The 24914-nt window shown below is 44.9% G+C and overlaps 1 protein-coding gene, 1 long non-coding RNA gene and 1 pseudogene across 50 annotated transcripts in view, besides 3 other annotated features; 1 reads left to right on the top strand and 2 right to left on the bottom strand.

The window, feature by feature from the left end:
* The window catches only part of BMAL1 (basic helix-loop-helix ARNT like 1), a 110615-nt gene that overhangs the window by 19099 nt on the left and 66602 nt on the right, over positions 1-24914 (bottom strand). For 16 of the 48 annotated variants that reach the window (NR_147788.2, NR_147785.2, NR_147787.2 and 13 more), the window contains 8 exons: positions 18098-18223; positions 13720-13867; positions 11391-11429; positions 11072-11113; positions 9577-9734; positions 7744-7823; positions 2576-2668; positions 1386-1503 (listed from right to left, as the gene is read on the bottom strand). Coding sequence is in view for 40 of the 48 variants with exons in the window: in NM_001351804.1 (NP_001338733.1) it covers positions 1386-1503; positions 2576-2668; positions 7744-7823; positions 9577-9734; positions 11072-11113; positions 11391-11429; positions 13720-13859 (670 nt within the window). In the remaining 8 variants the exon portion in view is untranslated. Of the gene's footprint in view, positions 1-989; positions 1103-1385; positions 1504-2575; positions 2669-7743; positions 7824-9576; positions 9735-11071; positions 11114-11390; positions 11430-12871; positions 13639-13719; positions 13868-18097; positions 18224-24577; positions 24742-24914 lie in introns of those variants that run through there. The other 32 variants (NR_147790.2, NR_147791.2, NR_147789.2 and 29 more) reach the window with 9 other exon arrangements.
* Positions 3264-4024: an enhancer, noted in NCBI's record as "NANOG-H3K27ac-H3K4me1 hESC enhancer chr11:13385691-13386451 (GRCh37/hg19 assembly coordinates)". NCBI's record gives its function as "activates a minimal SCP1, AML or CMV promoter by ChIP-STARR-seq in naive H9 embryonic stem cells {active_cell/tissue: H9 hESC(naive)}" and the evidence as "EXISTENCE:reporter gene assay evidence [ECO:0000049][PMID:30033119]".
* On the top strand, positions 8209-13712 carry LOC124902636 (uncharacterized). 2 transcript variants are annotated; one of them, XR_007062601.1, is made up of 3 exons: positions 8209-8294; positions 11877-11981; positions 13632-13712. It is a non-coding gene; the product is annotated as an uncharacterized LOC124902636 (long non-coding RNA). The 2 variants fall into 2 exon arrangements; XR_007062600.1 differs by lacking the exon at positions 8209-8294 and adding an exon at positions 9828-9916.
* Positions 9810-10374: an enhancer, noted in NCBI's record as "H3K27ac-H3K4me1 hESC enhancer chr11:13379341-13379905 (GRCh37/hg19 assembly coordinates)". NCBI's record gives its function as "activates a minimal SCP1, AML or CMV promoter by ChIP-STARR-seq in primed H9 embryonic stem cells {active_cell/tissue: H9 hESC(primed)}" and the evidence as "EXISTENCE:reporter gene assay evidence [ECO:0000049][PMID:30033119]".
* On the bottom strand, positions 14645-14960 carry RN7SKP151 (RN7SK pseudogene 151; annotated as a pseudogene).
* Positions 24655-24704: an enhancer, noted in NCBI's record as "active region_4464". NCBI's record gives its function as "activates an Ori minimal core promoter by ATAC-STARR-seq in GM12878 lymphoblastoid cells {active_cell/tissue: GM12878}" and the evidence as "EXISTENCE:reporter gene assay evidence [ECO:0000049][PMID:35858748]".

Here is a 24914-nt window from a genome sequence, read left to right as displayed (position 1 = left end):
ATGCTAAGAGCCTCAAAGGCAAGGCCCAAATGCCATTCATATTTTTCTCCTAAGGTCACTTAAAAAAGCCAAGGCTAGACTATAAAGAACAACAGATACCAAAGTCTGCATTTTACTTTTAGGAACAAGCGGTGTGCTGTAATGAAAGAGATGACTTGAAGGAGATTATCTGGTGGTATTTTTTTCCAGGGATTAACGTGGACAGCTTGGGAGCAAGACATTAGGCCACACTGATACTGTTCTTACTATGTGCTAGGAACTGTTCTGCCTGCTTTATATACATTAACACTTTCAATCCTCACAACAACCCAAAGAAATAGGTACTCTTCCATAAATGAGAAAACTGAGACAGAGAGAGGTTAAGTAACTTGCTCAAGGTCACACAGCTAGTGAATGGTGGAGCCGGAATGAGCCCAGTAATCTCCCTTGTGTTCTCATTCTTTTTTTTTTTTTTTTTTTTTCTGAGACAGAGTCTTGCTCTGTTACCCAGGCTGGAGTGCAGTCAGTGGTACAATCTCAGCTTACTGCAACCCCCACCTCCTGGATTCAAGAAACTCTCCTGCCTCAGCCTCCCAAGTAGCTTGGATTACAGGCACGCACCACCACACCTGTCTAATTTTTGTATTATTAGTAGAGACGGGGTTTTGCCATGTTGGCCAGGTTGGTTGCAAACCCCTGACCTCAAGAGATCCACCTGCCTCAGCCTCCCGAAGTGCTGGGATTACAGATGTGAGCCACTGCGCCCAGCCAGAGTCCTCATTCTCTCATTCTTAACTGTAGGAGTGTACAGCCTCCCACAGGACTAAAGTAGATGACAGCTACTGGGGCCTTGCACAGAAGTGTGTGCAGTAGCAGGAAGCTGGGGGCAGAGGGAGCGATGTGGATGGTGGTTCCACTACTGCAAAAGAAGAAAGCCAGGTGGGGGAGCCAACCTAAGGAGGAACACTTTGGTTGAAGAAACACCATATTTATAGTTGACGTTTTCTTACTTTTATGAGGCTGCCTGTGTGCAATTCAGGTAAATAGAGCCCATTTGTTCTGGGAGAACAAATCAAACTTAGCCCTTTAAACTCAGGAGCATACAACTGGGATTTTCTAGATTCTGAAAGAAAAAAGAAAAGTCTAAAAATCAGAAAGAATCCAGTCTAAATAGCTCTTCTTTTCAATAAATTTGGACATTGAGATTTTTTTCTTCTTTTTATGTAAAAGACCAAAGAACATAAATAATTCCATTTAGCCAAAGATAGCTCTGGTGCCCCAGAAAGAGGACAGAGAAGTAGGACTGGAAAGGCTGAGCCCATCACACACACCCGCCCTCTGCTCACTCAGGGTTGGCTGCCTGTGAGTGGGCTGCTGAGGAAATGCGAGGCCTCTCTGGTACTCACTTTTTGCATCTATGAGCCGCTCCCGGGGTGCGGTGTCAGAGGAGGAGAGCTGCTCCTTGACTTTGGCAATATCTTTAGGATGCAGGTAGTCAAACAAACTCTGACCAATCAGATCATTCTGGGGAGATGAAATGTTAAACATGACAAGTCAATTGCATGCAGAAAATCAATTATGCAACAAGTAAGCATGCACAGTCTGCATGTTGCCTTTGTGTTTTTGTGCATGAGACCTCAAACTTTTCCTATGTGAACCTGTACATATGTCCAACCACTTTGCCTGACACCAGGAAGGAGGCATCTGGAGGTTGGTTTTGATAACATGACGGGAAAACCCTCAATTATATAAACAGTTTATGCTCTTCTAAGGCAACAATCTTGGAATTCCCCTGTAAGACCTCAGAAGGCAGAAGATAGGGGTGGGCTCTGATTCCAGCTCTGCTGTTCAGCCTCTCTGTTCTCAAGCAAGTCACGCATATCATATGCTTCAGTCACCTTGTCTATTAACAGAGATAACAGCAACTTCCTCCATAACTTTGCTCTGAGACTAAAAAGAGCAGAAATCTTTGGAAAAATTAAATTTACATTAATTCTAATTTACATAAATGTCATTTTGATTCTTCAAGTCTTCTGCCTACCAAGCTTCCATGCAAATACCAGTGTGTGAGTGAATGAATAAATGAATAAAAACTCTGGGGGACATAATAGGTGAAAAGTTCTGTTCTAGAAGCGTTTATAAATGTTACTCTTATTTGATCCTATAAGTTATCATTAATTTTTAGAGTAAACTGAGGTTCAATAGAGCTAAGAAGTGACACAGCACTGCAAACACAGTATGGAGTGGATTTCCAAGTGACGTATTCTCTGGTATTGTGTTAACCTGCCTACCTTTCTCCCTTGTCAGATAGCCTCTTACCCTCTGTCCTTGCCACATATTGTGGGATATTTATTTTGCAGCAATAGAAGAAAGCCATAATGCTATCGATCAGATCAGAGTCAGATCTTTCAATGGGGGGAATACGGAACATATTACAAGATTGTTCTAAGTCTAAATTAATTTATCTGTTAAGAAGTTAAGAATTTTCTGGAAGAAGTTCACATGTGACTTGTATACTATAATTATTCTGACAAAATTGAGTGACACTTCTGACTGCTGTGAGGCTGCCCACCATCAACAGGAGCATGAACAATACCTGGCTGTAGTTGAGGATCTTGAAGACAGACTCTGAGACAAAGAGTATCTTCCCTCGGTCACATCCTACGACAAACAAAAATCCATCTGCTGCCTAATCAGGAGAAATGGATAATCAATTTCTCATACTGTAGGAAACATAATTTGTAATCACCCTGATAACAAATAGAGGATGTGCTTTCTAAGCATCCAAAGCACAGGAACACTAACAGTTTCAGTGATATCCTGAGTGCAGGATGCTGAAAACAAACGTCTCTGAAGAACTGTAAGATTGTGTGTGTGTGTGTGTGTGTGTGTGTGTGTGTGTGTGTTTCTGCATATCATCTAATTATTATAGGAAGAAAGTCCAATTAAAGTAAGTTATATTTCAAAGCAGAATTCAGCTTGCACGTGTTCTTTTGAAGGTATCATGGTCCAGAGAATCATATTTCATTGCTCTAATAATAACAACTCTATGGAGAGTCAGAGAATCTGAGATTTGGAAGGACTCTTCAAGAATCCCCTCTCCAACATCTCAGCCATCATCTGCCTTCAACTTGAAAACCTCCACGTACAGGGAGCTCTCTAAAACAGTGGTTCTCAACATTCGGAGCAGTGTTTTTTGTTTTTGTTTTTATGCTGATGGTCTGGCATGGGGCTGATCACTGGGGTATTTTTAAACCCATCCCACTTCCACGTTAATGTGATTCTAATGTACATAGGGCTGAGAACTACTACTCTCAAATGTTATCCCTCCATCCAGGGCCGGACTATTTGCATTCAGAAAAGCAAAACTCCCCGCTTAGATTCTTCTTACCCCTTCTTCAGTTTAAATACAGGAAAAAATCTAAATGTTCCAATAAAGCCAGCCATTAAGATAGGACAACATTTGGTAAAGAGACTGAAGCAGGTAAATACCCAAGCTATAGTGCCTGAGAGCTTGGGCTGTGTGAATCCCACCCACTGCCTTCCAGACATACAACCACTCAACTCCTGCTGGGGTCTTCCGGTGACAAGGAGGGTGTGCCCCACTCTGTCATGCCCTTGCTCTTATGACTCAGCCCTCCCTCGTTCTAATACACAGTGGACTAGTTTCTCACCTTATTCACTGGTCCTTAATCTGCTCTTTGGAAAAATACAGAGAAACTGTTCTCTTTTTCCACAAAAGGGCCTTCATGATGTGGTTTAATTCAAAGAACTAGGAAATGAATTAATGTGCCAGAAGGTAAAAGAATGGTGCATGTACTTGTGCTGGGACAGAAGAAATGAGTGAGAGGGGAACAGAATCACTGTTGCTTAAGACCCTGGCAGGCTACTCAGCCAGAAGGAAGCTGGGGAGGATCCTTTCCTAAGTTAGGTCCCTAAGCTGGCCCAGGGGCAAGGGATGACAGTGAGGGGGAAGTAACTTTCCAAGCACCATCTGCTGGAAGCCTCATTCTGTCAACAAATAGGGTATTAAAAACTTCCTCGTTTGCCTTGCAGATAATCTTGTATCTCATGGAAGTGTTTTTGAGGCTTTTCATTGATGTGGCAATGTGGCTTGAAAGGTACCTGGACAGAAGGGAACTGTGACACCCTGGAGGTAATGCTGGGCAGGGTCAGGCCTGAACCGACAACACAGGTAAAGCTATTTCAGTACTCCAGAGGAAAGCCAGCAGGTTCCAAAGCAGTGAATGCATCAGCGAGGGGAGGCTCTGGACATTCCAACTCCATAGCACCCTGGCCAGCAGACCATCTGTGAAGGAGCCGGGCCCGAAGGACAGCTAAGGAGCAGAAGCTGTGAGAACACTACCAGCACCACAGAGCCACAGGGGCCAGCCAGTGGCAGGGTCACTCTTGGGAAGATGGTGCTGGTTAATAAAAGACACAGAGGCCTTGGTACGGTCTGCCTAGTTTTCAAAACATGGGGAAGTAGACTAACGTAGACATTGTAAACTGATACAGTTGACTGATCCCTGACATACACTTTATTAAAGATATTTTGAAAGCACTTAGTAAAGAAAGCAGTTTGTCCATTTTGCATTGCTGAGGAAAAGCAGAAGTCCAGCTCCTGCGGCCAAACTGTCTGAACATCATCTGAGTAGACCTGGCTTTCTGTGGAAGCAAGTCCCTGGAACTGGGACCCTGGAAGTGATAAGGGACTGGACAGTATTTCACAGCCACTGACACGTGCTAGAGAGGTGACAAAACCTTCATCGGGCAAGAGAGATCACTCTTGAGTGCTGCATAAACAAGGGAGTAGAAGAGACAAGCCCAACATGAAGTATTTAGCTGAGATAGCATGATAATCCTTGTTCCATACCCTGGTAAGTATGGGTATCTGATAGAAAATTATTAAGAAAAGCAGCAACAAGAAAACGATTAAGCACGTGCCACTGCAAAAGGAGCTTGTTTTATTTATTTTTAAATTTGTCCATCCACAGGACTCTGCTTGATAATTATTTTACATATATATATATATATATATATATATATATATATATATATGAAATAAAGACATAGATTCTTTTTCTTAAAATAATCAAGCCTGTACCCCAGCCCAAAATGTCATTGATTTGGATGTTCCTAGAACAATGCCAAGCCTCTAGTAAGTACACAAAAGGGTTTGTTGAATTCATGAATACGCAAGAATGAAAGGCATAGAGGCAGGCCTATCACATCTACAGCTGCAGATCTGTTACCAGTATGGGAATCAGGACCAGTTACATAATTTGTGGGGCCCAGTACAAAATGAAAATGCAGGGATCCTTGTTCAAAAATTACGTTTTCAAGATGGTGACAGGGCATTAAACCAAGCATGGGGCCTTGTGAAACTGCAGAGGTCACATGCCCATGAAGCTGGCACCGACGGCAGCTCTCGAGATGCTACAGGCATCGGTCATATTTTAACCTCAGCAAATCCTCTCTGAGAACACGGACATCTTTACGAAAAGGATGGAGAGGTGGGCAAAGTTGGGTGTTTGAATAACTGTGTCCTGAGAGTGGTAGCCAAAAGACTATCACTCACTTGATCGGGAGCCTGGTCCCACCCTAAAGTGTTTATCATTGATTTGGATGTTCCTAGAACAATGCCATGCATCTAGTAAGTAAACAAAAATGTTTGTTGAATTTATGAATAAACAAGGATGAAAGGCACAGAGGCATGTATTGGATCTACAAGTCACACAAAGATTCCAAGGGTCACTAATGACAAGCTGGACTGTGGGGCCATTCAACAAACAGGTTTTGACAGAAATGAAAGAGAAGTCCTATCTTAAGTTCAAAAAAGCACCTATACAAGATGTAAAAAACCTGACCTAACAATAATTCATATTCAGGAGAGAAGGGGGAGGAGGCAGTACTGCAGCTGCCCCAAATGATACAGTACTAATCAGATGGCTTTTTTGGCAAGGAAGGCACTAGTCCCATTCAACCTCAGGCCAATCAGACCACAGTTGAAGCACTATATTGGGTTGTGGGAGTCACTTCTGGAAGGAATCGAGCAAATGCATGTGGCTCTGGAAAGTGTGTGTGGCAAACACTGTTGGGGAAGCCAATTCCCAACACCATTCCCAGGCCCCTTCTCTCTTGCCTGTCTCCACCAGGGAGGCTGGAAAATCTATAAACACTTGTTTCTGCACCCTGCCCTGCAGCTAGGCGTGACCAAGTGACACACTTTTGAATAAGCTGAAGTCCACTGTTGAGTTTTCAGGAAGGTGTATCCTTTCTTGATAAAAAGGACAGCCAGACTAGAGCTTCATTTACCCCTGTTTTTACAGTGGGTCTGGCTACTTAGACCTGGCAAAGGTACCTGGCTACATTAAGGAAACAAGCTAGCATGCTAGCTTGGTGTGGCTGAGTGCAAAGACAAAGAACCTGGTTCCTATTGACCTCATTGAACCACTGCAGCAACCCAACATAACCTACTCCAGACCAGTTATACTTGAGAAATTAAACTCTATTTATTCATCAGGTCTTCTGGTCCTTGCAGGTGAATGCTTTCCAATTTGAGATAGCACGTCATGAGGAGATAAATAGAGAATGCTGGAGTGAGCAGACAGGCCAGGCTTATAGAGAGCTGAAAATGGATAGTGATGATGCAAAATTCCAGATGGACTACCCTCTACTCTAGAGCTTTGCAAACTTCTGCTCAAAGATGGGTAGGAAGATTCTGTTGGCTGTGCAGGTAAGGTCAGCCCTGACTTTGTGGGAGGTGGAAGCGGGTATCCTTCCTTTTAGTTACGTTTTTCTATTCATCTGTTTACAATCTACAAGAACACGTTTCTGAATCCAGTTTCTTTCCCTTCAATTCCCAAGTTAATCTCACTTTACCTAGTAACACAACTTAGAGCTTTGTGCCGACCTAATTCTTCATGGAAGACAACAGGTTCCCATAGTGCCACCTCAACCATCTCCCAGCAGAGATTTAGCAAGACAGAGAGAGCACTCAAGTCAAGCAGGTGAAAGCATATATCTCTTGCATTTATTTTTCTTTTTTGGACCACTAGTCTTTGTAAGTTTGTTTGTTTTTTGAGACAGAGTCTCACTCTGTTGCCCAAGCTGGAGTGCAGTGGAGTGATCTCAGCTTACTGCAACCTCCACCTCCCAGGTTCAAGCAATTCTCATGTCTCAGCCTCCCAAGAAGGCATCTGCCACCACACCCAGCTAATTTTTATATATTTAATAGAGACAGGGTTTCAACATGTTGGCCATGCTGGTCTCAAACTCGACCTCAGGTGATCTGCCCGTCTTGGCCTCTCAAAGTGCTGGGATTATAGGCGTGAGCCACAGTTTTGTTATTTTGATGAGATTTTGGTGTAAAGATTTAGGTGGACTTTTTTGTGCTAGTGGTTAAATCAGGTGAAGAGAAATTCTCAATTGTTGTTGGTTTCAGTCCCTTCCTAAAATCTTCATGCAGAAATGTGATTCTCAAATCCCCCTTATTTTTAACAAATCCTGACTCTTCTGATTTTAAATTGCGGTGGCATAGACCTTCCATTTTTGTCTAGACGAGGTTAAAAGAGGAGGAGAATGGTTTTGTGGAAGAAATGTGAAGCCTGTCCAAACAATAAGATAAAGGGAGGGACCTGAGAGAGGAAGCAGGCCTAAAAAAAAAAGCTCAGTGTTGAAACATCAAATTCCCACATGCTGGTACTTACTTGAAAATTTATAAAAACAAACGTTGTAAAACAATCCCATAATTGAACATACCCTGAGAATGAGGTGTTTCAATTCATCGTCTGATAGAAAAGTTGGTTTGTAGTTTGCTTCTGTGTATGGATTGGTGGCACCTTAGGGGCAAAAAGAGAAAGAATTGGTATACTTGATATTCAGAAAATGTCTCATTCTAACTTGCTGCCTCAAACCTTCTGTAAGTGGCCTAGTCTCTATGACCTGGTATTTAAATTTTATTGTTTAGGCCTTAACTGAGATGAGCCTAGATCTGGCTTTGGACAGAATCCTGTAAGCCAAAGAGAATTCCATGGAAGAGAGAACACTGTTACCCACAGGAGACCTAACAAGCCTGTTTTTCTCATTACAGGGAAAACCAAGAGATAATAGAAGGAAGTTTAACAATCTGCTTCTAAGAAAGAAGGCAGCTCTGGAAGTAAACTGGTAGAGGCTCCTCAGAGAGTTCCCTCCTCCTAAGATCTGTATTAAATGGGTTGTCTGGTAGTCCTTCAAATCACCACTCTAAATGTTCTTGGGAAACCATTCAGTCTTCCAGGCCCTGAGTAAATATATTGTGGAAGGCATTTAATGTGAGTTACTCTTCATCAGGGGTGAGTTAAACGAGCGTGGCAATGTGGAGGAATGCATTGCTTCAGTCAATGCAGCTCGCACTCCCAGGACTGAAAGGGGACAAGACTTAGGTTTAAAAGGCTGTCAATCTGGCATTTTTCAGGAGAACAATCACTTAACAGAGAAAAATGCCAGCAGTAAATGATTTGGAGTCTGTAGAATAGCGAGTAGAATAGTGAAGGAATAAAAGGAAATGGATCTGTAACAATTCAAAGTACCATGGGGAGGGAAGGAGACAGGACGTGTTGCAACCATCCTATTGATCCCTATCCCTGCTCTTTACTGTAACTTGAGATTTGCCACTTTTTTCCAATTTAATAGAAATTAGTTTATAATAATTTAACCCATGTTATCTTTGCTAATATGAATTTTTAAATGCCATTCTTCCAGCACAGGATACAACATTTATATTTTTGGGTAATGATCTAAAGTCAGACAAAACCAGCTACTTCTTATTTCTGGTGGCCTTGTGCAAATATAAAAAGACGCAATTCTTCTACCACGCAGGTCAGAGATCTGACTGAGCGCCCACTTTCCAATTTCCTCCAAAAGTCCAAGACTAGCTATGGAAAATTCCAGGAACAGCATTCACTAAAATGCCTGATATATTTCAGATTTCTCTTGTGGTTTGGATAAGTCACTTCCACTTTTCTGCCTATGTTTTCTCACCCTCCCCACACTCAGAAAAGAAGGAAAATACTGCCTCCCTCACAAAGAGTGGATCTGGTTCGGGAAAATTCCAGGAAGATGAAAATATCTTCAGTGTTCATTCCTGACAACAAAATGTCGCGAGAACCCACAACCCATGACTCACTTTTCAAAGGAACCATGATGAATTTTCATCTTTGAACTGACTTTTCTGTGTCACTGTGTGCACCTACATTTCTGCGTGTTATAATTGTAAGGATGGGATCCAGGCACAAACATAGGCAAGATGTGAGACATCAGAGCAGTATCATCTCTGATAGGCACATAGCCTGATTACATGCATATACAGAGACGTGCAAAGCACAGTTTCTATGCTCTGAGAATGTGTGACTGCAAAATTGCATGTCAAAACCCACATAAGCTCAATAATCACTTCATTTGGCATCACGGCTGTTGCTGAAGAGTAAAGGCATACTACTGAAGGCTACATAATTGCAAGTAATAAACATCTGCCTTAGGGATAGGAACATTCTAGGCAAGGGTGGTAACATTTGTGGGCAAGGACATAAAGGACAATAGAGCCCAGGGTCTCACCTCTTAATGTTTTCATGTGCTGAACAGCCATCCTTAGCACAGTAAGTTTATCTAATTTCCTGGACATTGCGTTGCATGTTGGTACCAAAGAAGCCAATTCATCTATAAAACTGTTCATTTTATCCCGACGCCGCTTTTCAATCTGACTGTGAGCTTCCCTGAACAACAATATGAAAAACGATTTCTTATAAAATGTAACCAAGCATCAAGAAAAGATGACAAAAATAAATGAGTTGTAACTGTTTTCAATGTTCATCTGACAAGGCAAATTTAGAATTTGCAGAATGTTTAAAATTAGACTTTTCAACTAAAGTCTCCAAGAAAATGGTCTCACTGCCAGGTCAGTATTAATTTTTTTATGTTTACCTCATCTTTAGAATTCAGGAGAAAAGCTACAAAAATTGTCTCTTCAGAGTAAACTGAATTGTTCATTTCTCCTCGTTTCTTTTCCTCTCAGCCTTTGTCAAATTGGATTTTGAAATGGGGGTGAAAGGAAAGAGAAGGGAGGTGGTGGCTTCATAGCACAGAGCATCCAGAGCCCCGTGGGCTGTCCCTGAGGTCTGTGAGGAGCCCGCTGTGTGGCCATGTGACCTGGGCAGGGCACCAATTCTTTCCAGTCACAGCCTCACTGACTAGGGCACCCAGTAACCAACGCCGTCATCCTTGGATCAAAACTAGGTCCCCACCTAGGTGCAGCAGATGCTACATCTGTCCCCAGGAGCCTCCTCTGAGGAATGTCACACTCCTCCCGCTGAGGCAGGGTGACACTGACTGATGTGCACCTGCCATTGGTGATGGTCCTCCTAAGGAGGTGCAGCAACGATGGAAATGTAGTTTGCTGCAGCTGCCGCAGATACAGAGCCATGGGAGCTCCTGCTAAGGCTGGCCTCCGAGGGAAGAGCTTGAAGCCTTAGGGCAGCCAATTTCTGCAGCCCCCTGTATCAGTCTGTCATGACGCAGCCTCAGAACACAGCCTGGTACTAACGGCAGAAGAACTGAGGACGCAATGGGAAGAGGTCAGCAAGTGTGGCTGGAGGCAGGACAGACCCAGGCAGAGAATCTACTCGAGACACCGAGCATGCCCCATGTGGTGCATTCAGTTGCAACTCGCAGTGCAATAGGGGCCCCTGACAGAGGCAAGTCCCAGCCCAGGAACCAAATCACTGAGCCATGTCTCCTGCGGAGGGCGCTCCAGTCAGGAAGACGTTCTCTGCTGAAGACTGGGGAAAAACTTGAGCCTTGATTGATTTCTGCTACCTTCAAATCCACTTCAGGTTAAAGGTGCTTAGACAGCAAAGAGTAAAGGCCAGCCAGTATGGAGAGCATGGAGGGCAGAAGGCCACCTCGGCCAAGGCCCACTACCTGCCTATTCCCTAAGGAGGTGACAGTGCCCAACAGAACTCTTAGACAGGACCAAACATGCAGAGCCTCCTCAGCTGCTCTCTAAGCAACCAGAACTAGGATGCTTTGTAGACAAAATAAGGTCCAAGCTTACCTTGCATTTTTTATCCTTCCTTGGTGTTCTGTATATTCTAACCTGGGGGGAGGAAAAAGCAAAAGATAAAAACATAATTCTCTGGAGATGAATGGCAAAGTTACACATTGCTGTTTTCTTCTGCCTGATCCTGTCATCTCTCTGCAGACACACAAGGGGACTGGGGGTTGGAGGGACACAGTGAGCGCCCACAGGCTCACGGCCTCCTTGCTCATCTCCAGTTGAGGACATGGGTGCTGCCCCAAGTAACAGAATGTGTAACAGTGCAAAGAAAATGGCTATAAGGATGCTGAAGTTCAAATTACTAGGTTCATGGTACCTTCCATGAGGGTCATCTTTGTCTGTGTCCATGCTTTCTCTGAAAAAACAAAAGAGAATGTGACTGCATGTTAATAAAGACATACAGAAGAGCTTCTTATCATAAGACAGAAGGCTCTCATTTATCCAGAAACCAAACAATCATAAAGTTCGAACAGCCACAGTATCAATTAATGATGTATAATAAGGGTAAAACAAATGAAAATTAACTTGAACTTACTATAAAACCTGGACCAGCTTCTCAGGTTATCAAACAAAAGTTATCATCTCAAAAGAGTTTGTGTGTTAACATATATTTTACCATATTCTGATTGTTTGAAAATTGGGAATATGTAGTGTTTATAAAAATGCTTAGTTAACCATAGGATTGAAATATCTATATAACCTCTCATTCTCCCCCCCCATCATTCTGGATAAATGAAGCTTATTCTGTTTGCAAAACATATTGAGCATCAAAGATAAATGTGCATACATATCTATTTGGCAGGGAAGGGACGAAGTGAGGAGGGTGGAATTAAAGTACCAACAAAGTACTGAGCAGAGCCCCAGGCAGCTTTTCAAAGGCACTACTGCCAAATATTCTGCTTCTCAGGTAGGTGGGAACCCCTAGATTTTAGGAATTGGGATGGAGGGGCGTAGTGGGGCTGAGGGCCACAGAAGTCCTGGGGTCACAGCAAGGATCTCCCTCCCTTTCACAGACTTCAGAAAACCAAGTTTCGTTGCATCCTGTGGTTCAGTAGAAGAAAACAGACTGAAATCCCCAGAGGAAGGAGTTCCAAATCCCCCTCACCGCCTTCTCCAATCCATACATTTATCAGGAGGGCATGGACTGCCAGCTGGGCCTCTCTCCTTTTTCCTTTATCCCACAGGAAAGGAGAGAGCATGGCCCTTCAAACAATGTAATCCCAAGGGCAAAAATAGCTGTTTCTAGGAGCACTGGATCATATCATGGGCATTCTAGAACAGTGTTCCCAATTAGACGCCCTGGGGTTCCTCACAGGCAGAGAGTTTCCCCAGCTAGTTCTAAAGTTCAGAGATCACGCAGGCCGCACGGAAGGACAAAAACTCCCCTCTCCCTTTTGTCTAGAATTCTATCTGTTCCTTGAGGCCAGGTGATAATCTCAGGTGAGAAAAAGCTCTGCCTGACAGTCACAGATGACTTCAGTTACATTAAAATGATAGTGAAAGGGATTAAGGTTGCTTAATTAATTGAGTCTCCATGAATTACAGAAGATTAGCAAACCAGAGTCCACAAGGGAAATCTTGGGTGGTGACCAGGCTGGAACCCACAGGTCCAGATGACAGAGGCCTTAGAACACATCAGTGGCTCCCTTAGCGCTTGCTCAAGACAAAGGGTTTGTGGCCAACATCTCGCAGTCTTTCTGCTGGGGAGTTACTGCTATGGAAGAACGCCCTCACAGCCCTCATACCCACTCTCCAGCCCCTGGGTGTTGGCTGTCTTAATCATCTGGGATAACTTACATATTAATCATAGCATCTCCTAGTGGGCATCTGACCTCCAGCCATTGTGCTCCCCAAATTCGACCTGTGAACTTCAGCAGAAAGGACATCTGCTGTAGGGGGTATACCTCCTCGGAGATTTTCCCTCATTAAACAAAAGAAAACCTCTTAAATGGACATTTGGGTAAGATTCCACGCAGGTGCTTCGGCAAAACAAAATGTGCCTTTGAATATTCTACACTGCCTTATTCCCTAGGTGTTTGTACATATATAGAAGGGATGACTGTAAGTGTGAAAATTTACTTACTCAAACGAAAAGTCAACAAGTCTAAAAATAAACAAAAATACTATTTAATATAACAAGTTCATACTAATTTAAATAATGTTTAAGGACAACATCAATGTTCCTAAATTGTTTTCAGAGAGGACCTCCACTCATTCCTTCCATAAACATTCATTAAGCACCTGACACTTGCTGTCTTCCTCAGAGAGGCCCTCAGGCAAAGCTCTCTTTGAACCCCCTGAGATGACACCCATAGACTTAACCCTCTTGCTCAAAGGAGCAAAGAAAGAAGACGAAGAAAGGGGTAAAAGACAGAACTTGGCCTTAAGGCTGTTCTTTTTCTCTGGGTGTAGAACATTTTGGGGACAGGAAGTGGAAGTTAAATGCCTCAGCACTGCTGAAGGCTCCTTCTTGCTTACAAACTAGGGGAAGGTAAAGCCAAAAACCAACTGTGTCGCCACCTAGAGTTGGGTTTTTTATTCCCATCCCCTTTTCCAGGATGAAACAGTAGCTGGCTGCTAGATGTTCCATGCCCGAGAACTGACACCAAGTTTAACAAGAGGAAGACATGCCCCAAAGGCCTTACTGGTAGTCAGTGGAGCTGCCTTTCCGTTTGCGGTTGCAATCCACACCACTGGTACCAAGAGAGCTGGAAAGCAGGTCGGTGGGGCCCGGGGACATGAAATCACTGATGGTTGAAGAAATGTCCATTCTCTGGTCTGCCATTGGATGATCTGGAATTGTTACAAGAGGCACAAAGGTGTGTTTATTTCGATGAGCTCTCAAAAGTGGTGGAGAACCCAGGTTGGTGCTTGGGGGTTTGGTGGTGGGGGGCCGGGGGGGGAGACCCGGGGCTGGTTTACAGCAGCACTAATGCATCTCTCACACCCCCGGACCCAGAACAGGCATGTGATAGAATGGAAAGAGCATCATATTTATTTTAAGAGTTTTTGTAGGAAATTTAAGCCCACCCGCTCATTTTTCTGGTGAAGACATAAAAGCCTAGAGAAGCTGAGCAGCTTCTCGGTCCCTGTGCTGTGGCGTGGAAAAATTAAACCAGAACCAGAAACTCTAGAAGTGAAAACCCAGGGCAGTTCCCACGGAGGGGACCAAATAACCCAGATGTTCTCTGACAATGCTAATTATTTTTCCTCCCTTTTCTCCACACACAAAGCTAATTTTATTTTATTTTTATTTTTTATTTGTTTTGAGACAAAGTCTCACTCTGTCACCCAGGCTGGAGTGCAGTGGTGCAATCTCAGCTCACTACCACCTCCACCTCCCAGGTTCAAGTGACTCTCGTGCCTCAGCCATCCAAAACGCTGGGAAGCTGGGACTAAAGGCATACACCACCACACCTGGCTAATATTTGTATTTTTAGTAGAGATGGGGTTTCACCATGTTGGCCAGGCTGGTCTTGAACTCTGGACCTCAAGAGATCTGCCCGTCTCAGCCTCCCAAAGTGCTGAGATTTCAAGTGTGAGCCACCACGGCTGGCTGCTAATTTTATTTTCTTCTAATCAATAAACATATGATCAAGGAAACAAATAAATGCAAGTTCCTTATTATCTTTGTACTCCTGTTATGACTTTTGAGAGCTTGTTTGGGGGTCCCTAGCAGAAGATTGCAGCTACTCATATACCCTTGACCAAAGACCAGTCCTCCTCTATCGGGGATGGTCATCCTTTCTGAGCATACAGCTTTGGGAGGGACGCACATGGAGTGGTGAGGGAGGAATGGGACACCTGCCTAACCAGCCAGATCAGCCCAATCAACTCTGGCGACCAATGGGGTGACAGATGTTGCAGCCAGATAGTCCTCACATCCTGTTATGACTTTTGTAAACACTGTAAGAAAGCAGAAAATATCCTTTCTTCCACTGTAAGTCTTACTTGGGAATCAGGAAAATATGGTCCCCTCTATCACGGCCAGGCAGTCGGCCTGTTTTCCCCCCACTGTCAGCATCCTTTGCAAGGAAAGCCATGAGATGAAATGAAGACATTGTAAACAAATTTGCAAAACATTTTGAGAACTCGTATTTTAAAAGCATTAAGCAAACCGGCCCTTGAAAAGGGCTTGACAAGTGCCTTGCAAGGGACTCTGACTCCAAGCCCAGTTGAAGAGGTTGGGCAGGGTGCCTGCCTACAGCCAGGGGGTCTGAGCTCCGTGGAGTAGGACTGGAGCTGTCACTACCCCTCTCTGGACCCAACTTCCCTCATCTGCAAAACAGGAGGGTGAGTGTGAGCTACTGTTTCCCACTATCACTGTTAGGCCGACAGATAAGTGAACCAGCTGCCTCCTGTTTAGATGACTGCCATTTTTTCACTTTGATAAGCACTGCTGGGGTGAACATCTTTGTGCATATATTTCCTTGCATTTGAGCAATTATTTCTTAGAATAAATTTCTAAAGGTGGGACTGACAGGTCAAAACGGGACACACGTTGTATTCTGGAACATACTGTAACACTGTGCTCCAGAAAAGCGACAATAATTTCTATCCCCAACAAGAGCTCTTGCCAGTCTAAAGAGAAAAAAAGAAAACCTCATTGTTTTTACTTGTATTCTTCAGCTATTACTGATGTTGCTTTTTCTCTTTACAGGCGTTTCTCTGTCTTACGTTGTGTCTGCTCATGTCCTGTTTTTCTACCACAATGGCCTCCTACCCCGTGTTCACCTGTGTAACAGGACATGGCTGGAGAAACATACCCCTTAGAGGCCTGCATGCCGCCCAGCAATCCTTCATTCCCCTGGCCATTTATTTTCTCATTCTGCTATGAAGGACTTCATACTTTGCCCTCTCTCCTCAAACTTCCATCGTCTCCTTAGTCTCCATTCTCCGCTGAGGACTCTGCTTCTTAGTGAACTGAGAAAAGAGGCAGGTGCACACCTACCACCTCCTTAGATGCTCCTACTTAGGATCCCTTCCCCAGCTCATGCCTGGATTCTACCTCTCCCACCTCCTCGAGACCACCATTTCAGAACCCTCACCCCAGCCCAATCCTGCACCATCCACTCTCCCCACGCTACTGAATCATTTCCACTTGGGTGAAAACAAGAGTTATGTAACTCCCATCTTGGGAAAAATAAACTTACTTGAATACCATCCTCCTCCAGCTATTGTCCCATTTCTCTGTCTCCAGTTTTTTTCCTCTTATTCTCAATAATCCAACTCCAAACAGATTCTCTCCCCATCATTCCCATAAAACAGCCCTTGTTGGGTTGACCAGTGACCTCCTCACTGCTAGATCCAATGGCCAGTTCTCTCCTTGCCCATCAGCACATCCAGAGGAGAGCTGACCTCGCCCTTCTCACTGTCTCTTGGCTTGGGAGATCCCCCTTCTCACGGGACTCCTTCCATTTCAGTGGTCACTCCTTTTTGCTCTCTTTAGCTGGCTCCATCTCCCTCAACTCTAAGGGAGGGTCCCATGGATGTCCTGGGCCCTCTTCTGTATCTACACACACTCTCCAGGGGCTCTAGCTAGTGTCATTCTTTCAAATACTATCAACACTGCAACAATTCCCAAATTTATATCTCCAGCCTAGATGTCACCCTGAATTACAGATATTTATGGCCGACCACCTCCCTGACGTCCTCACTTGAATATACAAGAGAGATGTTAAACTGAAACATCCATAACCAAAACTCTATCTCCAAGCCAAGCCTCTCAGTCATTCCTATGTCAATCCTTCTGGTTGCCAGGCCCCAAACCTAGAAGCCACCCTGACTCCTTTCTTTCACAACCCGCATTCAATCCATCAGCAAATCCTATGAGCTCGACATTCCAAAAACAGCAAATGTGCTATCAGCTCGACATTCAATGACTTTCCCTTTTTCTTCACATGTCATTCCATCAGTGAAGCCCCCTTGAATATCCACATAATGCAAACCCTGCCAAGCCTCCCTAGCCCAGCCACCTACGTAATGTTTTGTCCTTAGCCCTTATCAAAATGTGACCTACAATAATCTACCATAGTCACTGGCAGTCCTCTCCATCAGGGTCTAAGTACCAGGAGAACAGGAACATTATTTACTGCTTGTGCCCTTAGTGCCCAGAATACTTTCTAGTACATACTAAGTGCTCAATAAATATTGAATGAACGAATAAATTTGTATACTAAGAATATTAATTCTTTGTTCATCATTGATGTTGTAAACACTTTTCCCACCCTTTTGCTTTTTAACTTTGTTTACGATATTTGTATGTGGGACCAAAAGTGACATGTTTTAAGTCTTTTCTTACCCAAAATAATATAAATATTCTTTTTTCTAAGATTTTAATGATTTTTTTAATTTAATGCTATTTGGAAATTATTTTGATATACTACCTAAGCTTAGGAATTTCTTATTTCCCTCTAATGGATAGGAGATTTTTTCTAACACCATTTGCTAGTCCATGCATCCCATTGCCACTAACTTGAAATACACCTTTATTGATTTATCACCTATTTCTGGACTCTCTACTCTGTTCCTCTGATCTAGTTATTTCCATCACAGTACTATACTGTTTTTACAACTGTGCTTTAGAATACATTTTAATAGCTAGCAGAACAAATACTCTCCTACTGCTCTTTATTTTTGGAAATTTCCTAGCTATTCTCTCTGATTTATCCTTCAAGAAGTATTTCATGATTATTTAATCATATTAAAGACCCTGTTGGGTGGGTGACATTGTTATTTTGTCATTAACATTTACAGAAGCAGGGCCAGGAATGAGTACAGAGCCCTGCCCTCAGGGTCTTGGTGATTTATGGAGCCCTGGCCCCCTTGGGCCATGCAGCAGACATGAAGTACCTCCAGAATCCCCCACTCCCTTTTTTGACCAGCCAAACAACCGCATGAGGTAGAATACCCCAAGTTTCAGAGTTCCTGGAAGAAACTACACTTCCTAAAGGAAGAACTGCCATGCAAGCTACCAAGAATCATGAGTTCACAGGGGGCAGGGAGGGGATACTACTTTGTTACCTGAAGTCACAGTTCTTACACCCCAGATCCAGCTTGGGAGGAGTTAGGGGCCTCTGGACTTGGTCACCTCAAAGCGATTTTCATGTTTTATAATTTCTTTTCAGGCGGTCAGCTTCTTCCAAAAACCTACAGTGGGGGCCACAAGAAAAGAAAACCCAGACAGGTCACTTTGAGGTAAGTAAATGTAAAAATCTCTTATTAGCTAAGGGAGATGGTGTAGATGGTTCATGACTCCTAATTACAGGGAGGAAGGCTGGGCGAGCTCGTCACACTCTACCGGCACTCACCACCCCTTGCTGCCTGGCCGTCCTTCAGCTCCTTGTTAAAGCTAAGCTGCAAACACATGAAAAAATCTGGCAGGAGATATTTTCGGTGAAAAACAATGCCTTCAAAGTTACTAAAACTGGATTCTTGGGCATGTCCTTAGAAGGAAGTTAGTTGTGTTTTTTATTTCTCCTACTGGGTCAAGTAATCATAATTGTGAAAACTTGTTGAGTGTGATTTTGTGTCAGGCTCTATCCTTATTGTTTTATGTAGATTAACTCATTGAAACCTGAAAGTAACTCTATGAGGGAGATACTCCTGTGTTCTCCGTTTTACAGAAGAGACTGAGGCACAGAGAGGTGGAGAAACTAGCCAAAGTCACACAGCAAGAGAGTGGTGGCCTTCAGAAGCTACCTCACTGCTGAAGGCACCACTCAGCTCTTGCTAGGTTGAAGGTAGTGGCCTGAAGCCAGACAACAAGAACAATGAAAAACAACAGAAAACAAGTCTTCAGAAAACATTAAGCCGAAGCATAATGCCAGCAGAGCCAACACCTGAAACTAACTGCTGAAGCGAGCTCCTCGGTCTAAAGAAAACATCAGTGAATCTCAAGTGCACCTGGGCACACACGAAGTTAAGAAAGAAATTCTGAAACAGGGTTCATGGTAGCCACCGGGCGGTACTGCCCTCCCACCTTACTGAAAGGACTGAGGGGTCTCCTCTCCACCCTATGACTCATGTGGAGGATTCCTGTGTCTGGCAGAAACTGGCTCTGAAAGGAAGAAAAGGGTCACCCCACATCCTCCTAATCCATCCCTGCACTGCCTTGAGATGGCAAAATTTAGATTTTAAACGGGGCTTTCCTGACCTTTCTGAAAAAAAATTTTGGCATTTCAAATTCCACTGGCTAATTCTTGCAGTCTTTGGGGTATCTTTGCCTCGATCGCTATAGAGATCTCCAAATGAATATCTGCGAATACAACTGCTTCCAGCCTCCCAAGGCATTCATTCCCCATTGCAGTCTGATTCAGGAACGCTCACTGTCCGATTCTGTTAACCCCAGTCTGGGCACATGCAAATAATGTGACCAGAAATTTTGTGCTTCTCATTCTTGAGCCTCAACTGGTAAAGCAGCAGCAAATAGATATGAAATCCCCAGGCTTAATATAGGTAATTCCATCTAAATCTGATTCTCTGTTTAGGTCACACGCTATCCTCCCAGCCCCCAAATTAGCAACCCAGAACCTACCCTGGGCTTCCTTCCTCTCTTCCTCCCACACCCCACAGCCCCCACACAGCCCTCTAAGGGATGGGCCCAGCCACTTCCCTCCAGATCCTTGTCACTGCCTCTGTTCAGTCTGCTGTCGTCTCCAGCCCCATCCCCTCTCCACTGTGGTCAGAGGCGGGATACCCCCTTGCTCAGACCACTGCAATAGCTTCACTGTTCCCCCTAAGTCTTCCAAACAAAGTTCAAACCCACCCAGCAGGAAACACTGCTTAGTCTTCAGCCCAACCCTCCCATCTGCTACCCAAAGCCCCCCGACAGACTAAAAGACAAGAGTTCCCAAAACCACCCTGCCTCTGCTGGGCCCACGTTTCTTGCAGGTGTGGCTCCTTTCAACCACCCAGTCACCTGATAAACTCCTGCTTTCCTTTCCTGTGCCCGTGGGCACACCTCCTGGAGAAGCCTTCAGAGCTGTATCCTCTCTCCCTGGCTCTCCTGCAGCAGCTCCTGCCCAGGCTCCTTCACGCCCTGTGACCATTCTCTGCTTGTAGGCGTGTCTCCTCCACCTCCCATAAGCTTCAGGCAGGTAGGGCCTTATTTATAGGCGTCTCCTGTGCCTGATCTCGTGCCTCACTCCAGGTGGTACTCAACAAATGCTAAATAAATGAACAATTTCATGTCCTTTCTCGTTCTCTGAGTTCCCTGAAATTTACTTACTTATTTAATTATTTTTTGAGACAGTCTTGCTCTGTCGCCCAGGCTGGAGTGCAATGGCATGATCTCGGCTCACTGCAATCTCCATCTCCTGGGCTCAAACTATCCTCCTGCCTCAGTTTGTCATGTAGCTGGGACTACAGGTATGCACCACTACCATGTCTGGCTTGTTTTTATATTTTTTGTAGAGAGGAGGCTTTGCATTGTTGCCCAGGCTGGTCTCAAAGTCCTGGGCTCAAGCAATCCGCCCATCTCGGCCTCTCAAAATGCTGAGATTACAGGTGTGAGCCACCATGCCCAGCCCTGACTTCCCTGAAATTTAGATGAAGGATCCAAATTTCAAGTACTAAACTCCATATGAAATTTCTCATTTTGATCAATTTTCCCAATACTCAAATTTACTTTATAGAAATAAAAATAATAAATGCTAATATAGATTTTGGTACTTCTGCAAAACAAAAATCAAAAAGCCTTTTTTATTTTTTTTGAGACAGGGTCTCACTCTGTTGCCCAGGTTAGGGTGCAGTGGTGTGATCATAGCTCACTGCAACCTAGAACTCCTGGCCTCAAGTGATCTTCCCACCTCAGCCTCCCAAGTAGCTGGGACTACAGGCATGTGCCACCATACGTAGCTAATTTTTTATTTTTAGAAGAGACAAGGTCTCACTATGCTGCCCAGACTCCTGGACTCAAGCAATCCCTCCATCTCGGCCTCCCAAAGTATTGGGATTATGGGCATGAGCCACCACGCCCAGCCTCAAAAGCCTCTCTTATATGCTTAGACCAGGTTAGGGAGCTAAACCAGTTGTGACACTTACTTAACATTATTTCTGGAAAACTGTTTTCTGACCAAGAAGGTGTTCTTAGATGCAAGAACAATAAATAAAACAACAAAAGATAAGAAAAAAGAAAGCCTCTTTCTGGGCTACTTCCAAAAGGGATTTGAGCCAACAGAGGTGCCTTTGAGAGGGTATCCTTGCCGAGGGTGGGCTCTGACGGCCGCCCTGACCTGGCCATCCACATGGTGTGTGATGAGGATGCTTTGGGGAGAGCCTAGCCTGTGGTCCTGGAGTCAGGGGCTGCAGGTGTGCCCACTTCCAAGCTAGAGAGTCCCAAAGGTGAGATGGAGGCATGCTGGACCGCCAGAGAAAGCAGGGCATGGAGGGACTTGCGCAAGATGCCTTGGAAGAATGTGAGAGGGCACCCTCCATTCCACCCAGGAGCATGGGGAAAGGATCTCAGGGGCTCCACAGGAAGGAGCAAGGAGGGTGGAAGAGAAGTCACAGCCCAGCCTGCCCTGTCGAGAGAGGCCTTGGCAGCTGAGAAAGGTGAGGGCATCAACCACTAGAAGGCGTCCAAAGGAGACACAGCTGCTCCTCTGAGCAGAGCAGGGTGAAGCTGAACCCTGCCCCTTAAGAAACCCATACCGACCATCTACAGGAAGATGATCACATCCAAGACCCCCAGTTCAGACCAAGTGACTCTCTCCTTTCCCTGGTCCCTGCTCCAGCACCCTAAAATGCAAAAGAAGAGAAAGGTGAGCCTGGCAGAGTGGATCAGTGTTCCAGGCTGAGCTGTCCCACCCAGTGGGAAGGTTCTGCACAGCCTGGTGGCAGGCCTGGCCATGTGACTGGCCCCAACCAGTGAATGAGGGCAGAAGTGACAGCCACAACTTTCTAAAGGACCTTTAACATGTGTTCCTCTGTCTGTGCCCATGACTGTCAATTTCCTGGGATAGAGGCTCCTCCTTTAGCCAAGGCCCTGGATGGACAGTAGCACAACGAAGAAATAAACCTTTGCTACAGTAAGCCACTGAGATGTTGAGGTTGTTTATTACCAGGGTGACCGACTCATCCATTTGCCTGGGACCTTCCCATTCAGCACTGAAAGTCCTGCATCCCAGGAAACCCCTCCGTCCCAGACAAACCGGGATGGTTGGTCCCCTAGTCACTACTATTGTACAACTCATCATATGCTGACAGACACAGGCAGGAAGAAGGAAATTAAGACTAGGATTCTACAGCCACAGATCAAGCCTGATCCAAGAGCAGGAACAGGAAACAATGCATTTACAATAAACAAGTTTAATTTTCACAATAACCTATCCATTCATTATGATCATTATCCCAATTTTCAAGGTGAGGAACCGAGAACTGAAGAGGCAACTTATCTTACTTAAAATGACACAGCTAGCAAGTGGGGATGAAACCCAGGTGTGTCCAGCTTTACTGCTGGTGCTTCTAACTACCATGGCTGCTGCCAATCCTGCCTCCAAAAACCACCCCCCAAAGTATAATACAGAGACAAAAGCAACATAAACAAACAAAACATAAAAAGCAAGCATTCCTGGAAAAGGAACAAGGAGAATTTATAAGAAAAAGAAGTCCTGGGTCAGGAAAGCTACAGGAACTGAGCAAACAAGTTATCTCTGAGCTTCCTGGCAGCCAGGGCAGAGAGGGAAATGCTCAGCTCTCACTCTTTTAAGACCTGGAAGAATATCAGGGAGTTCATCAGGACAGGCCTGAGCAAGGAGAGCTATCTGTTGGAAGGTTCTCTGTATGGGACCTAAGTAATACTATGCTGAATGGCTTGGGGTAAACAAGTGTTGTAAAAGAACAGAGGACTTCCCCCTTTTTAAAATGGGACCCCAGGGAAGGCCTGCCTCTCCTTCTGGCCCACTGTGTTACCCCTAGTGTGACAGCTGGGTGGAGCTCTGTTAAAACACTTGGTGAAGCCCAAGAATGTCACTTGGGTAGCAGCCTTCCATGATGTGGCGAGCTTAGGAAAATAGGGACAACAGTGAATCAACATCCTTGACAACCCTATCTGGTATCCATGTGCTTACTGATCTACTTCTCCACAAAACTCTGAATCCCCAGCAGGGGTGCTTGAGTTGCCACCTCTGCATTCCCACAACCTACCTACAGGGAGCTGGCCCTGAGCACAGCACATGCTCCAGAAGTACTGCTCTCCTTCCCCAGCCCAAACAGCCATGGCAGATGGCCCCTGGCCCCACTCTCCACTACATGGTGCCTGCCCTGATGTCTGTAGAGGGAATGAATGCTGAATTGCTCTGACCTGTTTATGCTCTGATCTGTTCAGAGGGTGGTGCCTCTGAGCAGAGGTGAGAGGCTGATGGGGCCCTGTCCCCACTGCAAGTCCTGTCCGACCTCCATGGTTACTCTGACAGCCTGTGGCGAGCCTTGCTTTGCAACAGACAGATTTAGAAGACCTTCACTGAATGACAGCAGATGCCCTGAACCTAAGGTAACAGGTGTTTGCACAAGGATCATTCAATAAGCATTTCTCTAGCCCCTAGCAGAAGCCACAATGGGGACGAAGACAGAAATCGGCAGTCCTTACGTTCAAGATGTCCTCAGTCCAGTTAGAAAGACGAGTGTTTTAATAAGTACATGACAGCATGACCAATTCAACAGGCAGGCCATGTTTACAGCTGTACAAGCAATGCACTGCCCTACTCCAGAGGTGCCTGGGGGTTTAGAAGTGGCAGATATTTGTTGAGCCATGATGACAACTCTCCAGCAGGTGGCAGTCAAGTGTCTTGAGGAAGGCGTGCTTTTTTTGTATTAGTGGAGCATAGGTAAGGTACAAGAGCAAAACAGATGAAAAAATGATTTGCTTGTGGGCTTGGGTGTGTGTGGAGGGGTGCTGAGGAGGTGTTAATAAAAGGAGATGAGACCAGCGAAGAGGTCTTATGAGGTGTTGCAGGGGTTTGCCGGGTGGCCTGGCTGGTAGGGAGAATGCCCTGAGCAGAGGACAGCACTATATGCAGTGGTACTTCAGTCTCAAAGGTGCTGGTTGTCAGGGGTCAGGGTGTGAGGGGGGCCCATTTGTGGCCCTTGGGTACCCAAATTCAACTGGTAGCTCTAGATGCTTGTGGATCCCCAAATTAAACATCAATCAAGGAGACGGCATTTGGAGCTATGGGGCTTGATCAGTTGAGAGGATCCTGCAAGGGGTAAGATTTGTAAATCTGAGGCACTTTGTCAATCAAAACCAGGCTGGTCTTTGTGGAAAAGACCCCCAATATCGTTGATAGAGGAGAGTCCACAGAATCCCAGTCTCCCAGACAGCTACTGAGGGTTGGTAGAGGGATTCAGAGGTCTAACTAAGTCACCAAACAGTGCTAGTTCCCCCAGGGCATGCATCTAGCTCAGTAAAGGCACTCAGTTTGCTGAATGATAAAAGGGATGTCTTCTTAACCCTTTGTCAAGTCCATCACTGAGGTGTAGAAAGAGAACAAGCTACCAACTCACTGGGCATCCTGGGGGGACTCTTGGTCCTGGAAGTGGAGGCACAGGCCACAGATGAGATGGCTGTGGAAAGTGGCCCGACTCCACCTGAACGCTGAGCAGCCACCCAAATTGAAGTGGCCCAGGATGAGGCAGCAGAGCAAACAAAATGGTCACAATGGGAGCATCTGAGTGGGCAAGCAGATCGAGGAGATTACTCTTTCAACAGGGCTGATTTTAATGACTGCAGAATGACTTGGAGTCCCAGGAACCATCAATCCCCCTAACATATCCACGAACCATCTGAAAAGGGAACTGATACCAATTAGTGCTTTTACTGCTCTAGACCCTTTAGAACATA

The sequence above is a fragment of the Homo sapiens genome, chromosome 11 (assembly GCF_000001405.40).
Source record: "Homo sapiens chromosome 11, GRCh38.p14 Primary Assembly".
Lineage (NCBI taxonomy): Eukaryota > Metazoa > Chordata > Mammalia > Primates > Hominidae > Homo > Homo sapiens.
This window is presented reverse-complemented; position numbering and strand designations above follow the sequence as displayed.